Raw genomic sequence first — 11,855 nt, 5'->3', positions numbered from 1 at the left:
TTCCATTTGATGATCATTCCATTCGATTCCATTCGATGATTCCATTTGATTACATTCAATGCTGATTCCATTCAAAACCATTCGATGATGATTCTATTCACTTCCATTTGATGCTGATTCCTTTCGATTCCATTTGATGATGACTGCATTAGGTTCCATTTGATGATGATTCCATTCGGTTCCATGTGATGAAAATTCCGTTAGATTCCATTTGATGATTCCATTCCATTCCATTCATTGATTATTCCATTCGATTCCACTCGATGATGATTCATTTGATTCCATTCGATGATGACTCCATTTGGTTTCATTTGATGATGATTCCACTCAGTTCCATACGATAAAGATTCCATTAGATTCAATTCGATTTCTTTCTATAACTCTATTCTATTTCATTTGATGATCATTCCATTCTATCCCAATAGATGATTCCATTCGATTCCATTGAATGATTATCCCATTCGATTCCATTCGATGATGACTCCAATCATTTCCAGTCAATGATGATCCATTCGCGTCCATTAGATGATTCCATTCGATTCCATTCGATGATGATTGCATTCGTGTCCATTCGATGAATCCATTCGATAAAATTCGATGATGATCCCATTTGATTGCATTCGATGATACCATTCTATTCCATTCGATGATGATTGCATTCAAATCCATTTGATGATTCCATTAGAGTCCATTTAATGATTCCACTGGATTCAATTTGATGATGATTAATTTGGATTCCATTCTATGATTCCATTCATTCCATTCATTCATGATTCCAATAGATTCCACTCGATGATTATTCCATTCATTTTCATTCAATGATTCTATTTGATTTCATTCGATGATGCATCAATTCTATTCCATTGGATGATTCTATTCGATTCCATTCAATGATGATTTCATTCGATTCCATTCGATGATGATTCCATTTGATTGCATTTGGTGATGATTCCATTCGGGTCCATTCGAAGTTTCCATTCGATTACATTGCGTGATGATTCCATTCGCGTCCATTCGATGATTCCATTCGACTGCATTTGACAATGATTCCATTCGATGCTATTCGATGATTCCATTACATTATATTCGATGATGATTCCATTTGACTCCATTCGATGATTCCATTCGAGTCCATACCTTTATCCCATTAGATTCCATTCAATGATGTTTCCATTTGATGCCATTTGATGATGTTTCCATTCGAGTCCATTCGATGATGACTGCATTGGATTCCATTCTATGATTCCATTTGATTCCATTTGATGGTGATTCTGATCAATTCCATTTGATGATTCCATGCGATTCCATTTGATGATTCCATTTGATTCAATTCAATAATGATTCCATTCGAGTCCATTCAATGATTACATTTGAGCCCAATGGATAATTCCATTTGAGTCCAATCCATGATTCCATTCGAGTCCATTCAATCATTCCATATGAGGCCATTTGATGATGATTCCTTTTGAGTCCATTCAATGATTCCATTCAGTAGCTCCATTTGAGTCCATTCGATGATTGCTTTTGATTCCATTCGATGATATTCCATTCGACCCCATTCGGTGATTCCATTCGATTTTATACGATGATGATTCCATTCGTGTCCATTCGGTGATTCCATTCGAATTCATTCGATGATGATTCCTTTAGAGTCTATTAGATGTTTCCATTCGATTCCATTTGATGATGATTTCGTTCGAGTCCATTCAATGATTCCATTCGATTCCATTCGATGATGATTCCATTCGAGTCCATGCGATAATTACATCTGATTCCATTTGATGATGACTGCATTCGGTTCCATTCGATGATGATTCGAACGGACTCCATTCAATGACTCCATTCATTCATCATTCATTGATGATTGCATTCGATTCCATTCAATGATGATTCCACTCGAATCTGTTCGATGATTCTACTTGATTCCATTCGATGATGATTCCATTCATGTTCATTTGATGATTCCATTCGATTCCATTCGATGATGATTCCATTCGAGTCCATTCGATGATTCCATTCAAGTCCATTCGATGTTTCCTTTCGATTCCACTTGACGTTGATTCCTTTTGGGTCCATTCGATGATTAAATTTGAGTGTGTTCCATTATTTCATTCGATTCCATTCGATGATCATTCTATTTGAGTCCATTCGATTATTCCACTTTATTTCATTCGATGATGATTCCATTCGATTCCAATCATTGATTCCATTCGAGTCAATTCGATGATTCCATAACATTCCATTCAATGGTGATTCCATTCGATTCCATTCGATGATGATTCCATTCGACTCCATTCAATGATGATTCCATTCAATTCCATTCGATGATGATTCCATTTGCTCCATTCGATCATGATTCCATTCGATTCAATTTGATGGTTCCATTCAATTCCATTCAATAGTTCCAATCGATTCCATTTGATGATGATTCCATTCAATTCCATTCCGTGATGATTGCATTCGATTCCATTCAACGTCTCCATTTGATTCCTTTTGATATTGATTACATTCGTGTCCATTGGATGATTCCGTTCAATTCTTTCTGATTATGATTCCGTTTGATGCCATTTGATGATTCCATGCCATTCCATTCGATGATGATTCCTTTCGATTCCATTCCCTGATTCCTTTCGATTCCATTTGATGATGATTCCATTTGAGTTCATTCAATGATTCCATTCAATTCCATTTGATATTGATTCCATTAGGATCCATTTAATGATTCCATTCAATTCGTTTCGATGATGATTCTATTTGAGTCCATTTGATGATTCCTTTGAAGTCCATTTGATTATTCCTTTTGATTCAATTTGATTATGATTCCATTCGATTCTATTCGATGATTCCATTCAATTCCATTCGATGATGATTCCATTCGTGTCCATTTGATGACTTGATTCGATTCTATTCGATGATGATTCCATTCGAGGCCATTTGATGATTGCATTTGAGTCCGTTTGATGATTTCATTTGATTCCGCTTGATAATGATTCCTTTTGAGTCCATTCGATGATTCGATTTGTGTCTATTCGATGATTCCATACGATTCCATTAGATGATGTCTCCATTCGAGTCCATTGAATTAGTCCATTAGATTCCATTCGAGGATGATTCCATTCGAGTTCATTCAAGGATTCAATTCGAGTCCATTCGATGCTTCCATTCAATTCCACATGATGATGATTACTTTCGAATCGATTTGATGTTTTCTTTCAAGTGCATTCAATAATTCCTTTCGATTCCATTCTATGATGATTTCATCCTCTTCCATTCAATGATGATTCCATTCGATTGTATTCAATGACCCCATTCGATTCCATTCGATTGTGATTCCATTCTTTTCCATTAGGTGATTCCATTTGATTCTTATCAATGATGATTCCGTTTGATGCCATTCGATGATTTCATGTGATTCCATTCGATGATGATTCATTTCGTTTCCATTCAATGATTCCATTCGATTCCATTTGATGATGATTCCATTCGAGTCCATTTGATGATTCCATTCAATTCCATTCGACAATGATTCCATTCGAGTCCATTTGATGATTCCATTCGATTCTATTCAATGATGACTCAATTTGAGACCATTTGATGATTGCATTCGATTCCATTTGGTGACTCCTTTCTGTTTCATTCGATGAGGACTCCATTCGAGGCCATTTGATGATTGCATTAGGTTTGATTCAATGATGATTCCATTCGAGTCCTTTCAAAGATTCGAGTCCATTCAATGATTCCATTCGATTCCACTTGATGATGATTCCTTTCGAGTCCATTCAATGATTCCTTTCAAGTGCCTTCAATGATTCCATTCAATTCCATTCAATGATAATTCCATTCGAGTCCATTCAATGATTCCATTCAGTTGCATTCGATGATTCCATATGATTTCATTCGATGATGATTCCATTCGAGTCCATTTGATGATTCCATTCAATCCCTTTTGAGCATGATTACATTCGATGATTCCATTCTATTCCATTCCATGATGTTTCCATTCGATTCCATTCAATGATTATTCCATTCGAGTCCATTCAATGATTCCTTTCAATTCCATTCGATGATTCCATTTGATTCCATTCTATAATTCCATTTTATTACATTTGATGATGATTCCATTTGATTCTATTCGATGATTCCTTTCGATTCCATTTGATGATGATTCCATTCCAGTCCATTTGATGATTCTTTTCGATTCTATTCGATGATGATTCCATGCAAGTGCATTCAATGGTGATTCCATTCGGTTCCATTCAATGAATCCTTTCGATTCCATTCGATGATGATTGCATTTGATTCCATTCGATGATTCCATTTGATTCCATTCAAAGATGATTCCTTTTGATTCCATTCAATGATGGTTCCATTCGAGTCCCTTCGATGATTCCATTAGAGGCCATTTGATGGTTCCATTTGGTTCCATTCGATGAAGATTCCATTGTATTCCATTCTTTGATGATTTAAATTGATACCTTTCAATGATGATTCCATTCAATTGCATTCGATGCTCATTCCATTCGGTTCCATTCGTTAATTCCATTCGATTCCATTCGACAATTATTCCATTTGACTCCATTCGGTATTTCCTTTAGATTTTATTCAATGATTATTCCATATGAGTCCATTCAATGATGATTCCATTCGATTGCATTCTATGGTTCCATTCGATTCCATTCGAGGATGATTGCATTAGATTCCATTTGATGATTCCATTTGATTTTATTCAAAGATGATTCCATTCGATTCCATTTGATAATTCCTTTCGATTCCATTTGATGATTCCAATGGATTCCATTTGATGATGATCCCATTTGAGTCTGTTCGATGATTCCTTTCAATTCCAATCAATGAAGATTCCATTCGTGTCAATTCCATGATTCCATTCCATTCCATTCGATGATGATTCTATTCAATTCCATTACATAATGATTCCATTCGATTCCATTCAAAGATGATTCCATTTGATTTCATTGGATGATTCTATTTGATTCCATTCAAAGATGATTCCCTTCTATTCCATTCAATGATTCCATTTGATTTCATTCGATGATGATTCCATTCTAATCCACTTGATGATTCCATTCCATTCCATTCAATGATGATTCCATTCGAGTCCAGTCGATGACTCCATTCGATTCCATTAGATGATGATTCAATTCGAGTCCGTTCGATGATTCAATGCGATTTCGTTTGATAATAATTACATTCAATTCTATTCGATGATTCCTTTCGATTCCATTTGATGATGATTCCTTTCAAGTCCATACGATGATTCCATTCAAATCTATTCGATGATGATTCCATTCGAGTCCATTCGATGATTCCATTCGATTACATATGATGATGATTCAGTTCGATTCCATTCGATGATTCCATTTGATTCCATTCATTGATGATTGCATTCGAGTCCATTTGATGATTCCTTTTGATTTCATTCAATGATGATTCCATTCGAGTCCATTTGATCATTCTATTTGAATCCACTTGATGATTGCTTTCGATCATATTCGATGATGATTCCATTCGAGTCCATTCGATGATTCCATTCAATTCCATTTGATGATGATTCCATTCGTGTCCATTAAATGATTCCATTTAATTCCATTCGATGATGACTCCATTCGGGTATGTTCAATTATTCCTTTCAGTTCTATTTGATGATGATTCCATTCGATTCCATTTAATGGTGATTCCATTCAATTACATTCGATGTTTCCATTCGATTCCATTTGATGATAATTGCATTATATTCCATTCAATGATGATTCCATTCCATTTCATTTGATGATTCTATTCGATTCCATTCGATGATGATTCCTTTCAATTCCATTTGATGATGATTCCATTCGACTGCAATCAATGATGATTCCATTTGAGTCCATTTGAAGATTCCATTCGATTCCATTTGATCATTGTTCCATTGATGTCCATTCGATGATTCCATTCCATTCCATTCGATGATGATTCTATTCAATTCCATTCGATGATGATTCCAATCGTTTCCATACAATGATGATTCCATTTGGTTGCATTCAATGATTCTATTTGATTCCATTCGAAGATGAATCCATTCTATTCCATTCGATGATTCCATTCGATTCCATTCGATGATGATTCTATTCGAATACATTTGATGATGAATCCATTCGAATCCATTCGATGATGATACCATTCATGTCCATTCGATGTTTCCATTTGATTCCATTCAACGACGATTCCATTCAAGTCCATTAGATCAGTCCATTTGATTCCATTCAATGATGATTCCATTTGATGCCATTCAATGATTCCATTTGATTTCATTCAATGATGATTCCATTCTAATCCATTTGATGATTCCATTCCATTCCATTCCATGATGATTCCATTCGAATCCATTCGATGATTCCATTTGATTCCATTCGATGATGATTCCATTTGAGTCCCTTCAATGAGTCCATTCGATTCCATTCGATGGTGATTCCATTTGGGTCCATTAGATGAATCCATTTGATTCCATTCGATGGTGATTCCATTCGAGTCCATTCGATGATTCCATTTGATTCCATTCTCCAATTATTACATTCGAGTCCATTCGATGATTGCACTGGATTCCATATGATGAAGATTCTATTCAATTCCACTTGATGATTCCATTCTATTCCATTCAATGATGATTCCATTCGGGTTCATTAGATGATTCCATTCGATTCCATTCGATGATAATTCCATTCTATTCCATTCAAAGATGATTCCATTCGTGTCCATTGGATGATTCCATTTGATTCCATTCGATGATGATTCCCTTCTATTCCATTCAATGATGATTCCATTCGGGTCCATTGGGTGATTCCATTCGATTCCATTCAATCATGATTCCATTTGTGTCCATTCAATGATTCCATTCTACTCCATTCGATGCTTATTCCATTCCTTTCCATTAGATAATGATTCCATTCGATGCCATTCTAAGATTCCTTTCAATTCCATTTGTTGTTGATTCCATTCTATTTCATTCGATGATTCTGTTCGAATCCATTCAATTATGATTCCATTCGATTCCATTCAATGATTCCATTTGATTACATTTGATGATGATTCCATTTGATTCCATTTGATGATTCCATTCGATTCCATTCCCATTCGATGATGATTCCATTCGAGTCCATTCAATGATTCCTTTCGATTCTATTCAATGATGATTCCATGAGAGTGCATTCAATGGTGATTCCATTGGATTCCATTCAATGATTCCTTTCAGTTCCATTCAATGATGACTGCATTCGATTCAGTTCTATGGTTCCATTCAATTCCATTCAAAGATGATTCCATTCGATTCCACTTGATAGTTCCATTCGATTACATTTGATGATTCCAATGGATTCCATTTGATGATGATTCCATTCGTGTCCATTCAATGATTCCATTCAATTCCATTAGATGATTATTCCATTCGAGTGTATTCGATGTTTCCAATCAATTCCATTCAATGATGATTCCATTCGAGTCCATCCGATGACTCTATTCAATTCCATTCAATAATGATTCCCTTCGAGTCCATTTGATGATTCCATTCAAGTCCTTTTGATGATTCCATTCTATTCCGTTTGATGATGATTCTGTTCGAGTCCATTCGACACTTCCCTTCGAGTCCATTTGATGATTCCATTTGAGTCGAATTGCTGATTCCATGCAATTCTGTTCTGTGATGTTTCCGTATGATTCCATTCTATGATGATTCAATGTGATTCCTTTCGATGATGATTCCTTTTGATTCCATTTGATTATGATTCATTTCCAGTTCATTCAACGATTCCACACGATTCCATTTGATGATGATTCCATTCGAGTCCATTTGATGATTCCTTTCGATTCCATTAGAAGATGTTTCCATTTGATTCCGTTCATTGGTGATCCCATTCAATTCCATTCAATGATTCCATTCCATTCCATTCGACAATGATTCCATTTGATTCCATTCGATGATTCCGCTCAATTCCATTTGATGATGATTCCATTCGATTCCATTTGATGATTCCATTCGATTCTATTTGATGATGATTCCATTCGATTCCATTCGATGATGATTGCCTTCAATTCCATTCGATGATTCCATTCGATTCCATTCAATGATGATTCAGTTTGATTCCATTTGATGAATCCATTTGAGTCCATTTGATGATTCCATTCGAGTCCATTCAATGATTCCATTCGAGTCCATTTGATGATTCCATTCGATTCCATTTGATGATAATTCCATTCATGTCCATTCAATGATTCCATTCGAGTCCATTCGATAATTCCTTTTGATTCCTTTCGATGATTCCATTCGATTCTATTTGATGTTTCCATTTGAGTCCATTTGTTCATTCCTTCCGTGTCCATTCGATGATTCCATTTGATTCCATTTGATGATGATCCCATTTGATGATGATTCCATTGGAGTCCATGTGATGATTCCGTTTGATTCCATTCGATGATGATTCCATTCGAGTCCATTCGATGGTTCCATTCTATTCCATTTGATGAGGATTCCCTTCAAATCCATTTGATGATTCTATTCAAGTCCATTCATTGATTGCTTTTGATTCCATTTGATGATGATTCCCTTTGATTCCATTCGATGATGATTCCATTCGATGTCATTCTATGATTCCATTTGATTCCATTTGATGTTGATTGCATGTGATTCCATTCGGTTATTCTATTCGATTATTTTCTATGATGATTCCATTCGATTCCATTCAGTGTTTCCAGTTGATTACATTTGATGATGATTCCTTTAAATTCCATTCAATGATTCCCTTTGAGTTCATTCCATGATTCCTTTTGATTCCATTCCATGTTGATTCCAATCGAGTCCATTTGATGATTCCATTTGATTTCTTTTGATGAAGATTTGATTCAATTCTGTTTGATGATTCCATTCAATTATATTTCATGACGATTCCTTTTGAATCCATTTGATGATTCCTTTCGAGTCCATTTGATGATTCTATTTGGTTCCATTCGATGATGATTCCTTTGAATTCCATTCGTTGATGGTTCCATTCGATTCCATTCGATGACGATTCCATTCAATTGCATTCGATGATGACTCCATTCGATTCCATTCGATGATGATTCCATTCGGGTCCATTAAAAGATTCCATGTGATCCCATTCTATGATGATTCCATTTGAGTTCATTTGATGATTCCATTTGACTCCATTCGATGATGATTCCATTTGATGCTATTCCATGATTCCATTCGATTCCATTCCACTTGCTGATGATTACATTTGACTCCATTCGATGATTCCATTCGATTCCATTCCATGATGATTCCCTTCAACTCCATTCAGTGATTCCATTCGATTCCAATCGATGAGGATTCCGTTCGAGTCCATTTGATGACTGTATTCGATTCCATTCGATGATGATTACTCTTGAGTCCATTCAATGATTCCATTCGAGTAAATTCGATTATTCCATTTGATTCTATTCGATGATTCCATTCGATGCCATTTGATGATTCCTTTTGTTTCCATTCAATGTTCATTCCATTCGTGTCCATTTGATGATTCCATTCAATCCCATTTGATGATGATTCCATTCGTGTCCATTCGATGATTCTATTCTATTCCATTCGATGATGATTCCATTTGAGTTGATTCGATGATTCCTCTCGATTCCATTCAATGACTCCGTTCAATCCCATTTGATGTTTCCCTTCGATTGCCTTCGATGATCATTCCATTCGATTCAATTTGGTGATTCCATTCGATGATGATTCCATTCGATGATGATTCCATTCGATGATGATTTCATTCTATTCCATTTGATGATGATTCCATTCGCTTCCACTTGATGATGATTCCATTCGATTCCATTTGATGGTGATTCCATTTGCTTCCATTTGATGATGATTCCATTCGAGTCCATTCGATGATTCCTTTCGATTCCATTCGAAGATGATTCCACTCAAGCCTATTTGATTATTCCATTCGAGTCCATTCGATGATTCCATTAGATTCCATTCGATGATGATTCCATTCCATGCCATTCGATGATTCCATTTGATTCCATTCAATGATGATTCCATTTGTATTCATTCGATGATTCCATTGGTTTCCATTTAATGATGATTCCATTCGAGTCCATTCCATGATTCCATTCAATTCCATTCGCTGATGATTCCATCCGAATCCATTCGATGATTCTTTTTGATTCCCTTCTATGATTCTGTTTGATCCCATTCGATGATTCCCTTCGATTCCTTTTGATGATCTTTCCATTCGATTCAATTAGATGATTCCATTTGATTCCATTCGATGATGATTCCATTCGATCCCATTCGATCAAGAGTCCATTTGATTCCATTTAATGATTACTCCATTCGTTCCATTTAATGATGATCCCATTCAGTTCCATTTGATGATGATTCCTTTAGATTCCATACAATGATTCTATTCGATTACATTTGTTGACGATTCCATTCGATTCCATTCAATGATGATTCCATTCAATTCCATTTGATGATGGTTGCATTCGATTCCATTCGATGATGATTCCATTCGATTCCATTCAATGATGATTGCATTCGATTCCATTCGATGATGATTCCATTCACTTCCATTCAATGATGATTCCATTTGATTCCATTTGATGATGATTCCATTCGCTTCCATTCAATGATGATTCCATTTGATTCCATTCGATGATGATTCCTTTTAAGTCCATTCGATGATGCTTCCGTTCAAGTTCATTGGATGATGATGCATTTTGATTACATTCGATGATGACTCCATTCGTTTCCATTCGATGATGATTCCGTTTGATTCCATTCGATGATAATACCTTTCTATTCCATTCGATGATGATTCCATTCGATTCCATTCGATGATGATTCCATTCGATTCCATTCGATGATGATTCCATTCGCCTCCATTCAATGATGATTCCATTTGATTCCATTTGATGATGATTCCTTTCGAGTCCATTCGATGATGATTCCGTTCAAGTCCATTGGATGATGATGCCTTTTGATTCCATTCGATGATGTCTCCATTCGATTCCATTTGATGATGACTCCATTCGATTCCATTCGATGATGATTCCGTTTGATTCCATTAGATGATAATTCCATTCTATTCCATTCAATGATGATTCCATTCCATTCCATTCCATTCCACTACTTTCCATTACATCCAATTCCATTCCACTCCACTCTTCTCCACTCCACTCCACTCCATTGCCTTCCATTCCGTTCTATTCCACTGCTTTACATTCCATTCCTTTCTTTCAAGAGTGTCTCTCTCTGTCACCCATCCCGTAGCACAATGGCACAATCTCATCTCCCATTCCATTCCATTCCTCTCCATTCAATTCCATTCGATTCAGTTCCATTGAATTCCATTCCATTCCATTCTATTCCATTCCATTCCATTCCATTCCATTCCATTCCATTCCATTCCATTCGAAAAAGAAAAAAGAGTTGCAAAGTCATACTCACTTCTCTGCTCTTGTCAGAACATTAAGTGTTCTTTGAATACTTCAGCCCTAATAATTTTCTTTTTATCATACATATTGCAGTGCTTATCTAATTTTAAATATATTTTTGTTTCAAAACCCAGTTTCTTATTTGTTCTATCTGTATGTTTGCAATATATATTACTCTCTGTTCATTCTTGGATTTCAGAACTTCAACCTTTCTGAAGCATATTTTCATAGTTTCTCTGTTGTTTCTTTAGTGGAATTCTGCTGGTGGCGTTTTGTGTTTTATCTCTAAATATGTTATTTAGCCATAGGATAATGAATATTTTTCTTTGTTTAGAAATTCAGAATGGCGTTATTATTCTTAACAAATATTATTGTTTATTTTACCTTTCATT

General features: G+C 35.6%; 2 annotated features.

The window, feature by feature from the left end:
* Positions 6,917-7,736: an enhancer, noted in NCBI's record as "OCT4-NANOG hESC enhancer chr7:61743267-61744086 (GRCh37/hg19 assembly coordinates)". NCBI's record gives its function as "activates a minimal SCP1, AML or CMV promoter by ChIP-STARR-seq in naive H9 embryonic stem cells {active_cell/tissue: H9 hESC(naive)}" and the evidence as "EXISTENCE:reporter gene assay evidence [ECO:0000049][PMID:30033119]".
* Positions 7,737-8,556: an enhancer, noted in NCBI's record as "OCT4-NANOG hESC enhancer chr7:61742447-61743266 (GRCh37/hg19 assembly coordinates)". NCBI's record gives its function as "activates a minimal SCP1, AML or CMV promoter by ChIP-STARR-seq in naive and primed H9 embryonic stem cells {active_cell/tissue: H9 hESC(naive and primed)}" and the evidence as "EXISTENCE:reporter gene assay evidence [ECO:0000049][PMID:30033119]".

The sequence above is a fragment of the Homo sapiens genome, chromosome 7 (genome assembly GCF_000001405.40).
Source record: "Homo sapiens chromosome 7, GRCh38.p14 Primary Assembly".
Taxonomy (NCBI): domain Eukaryota; kingdom Metazoa; phylum Chordata; class Mammalia; order Primates; family Hominidae; genus Homo; species Homo sapiens.
The sequence above is the reverse complement of the archived record's forward strand: the minus strand, read 5'-3'. Positions and strand labels throughout refer to the sequence as shown.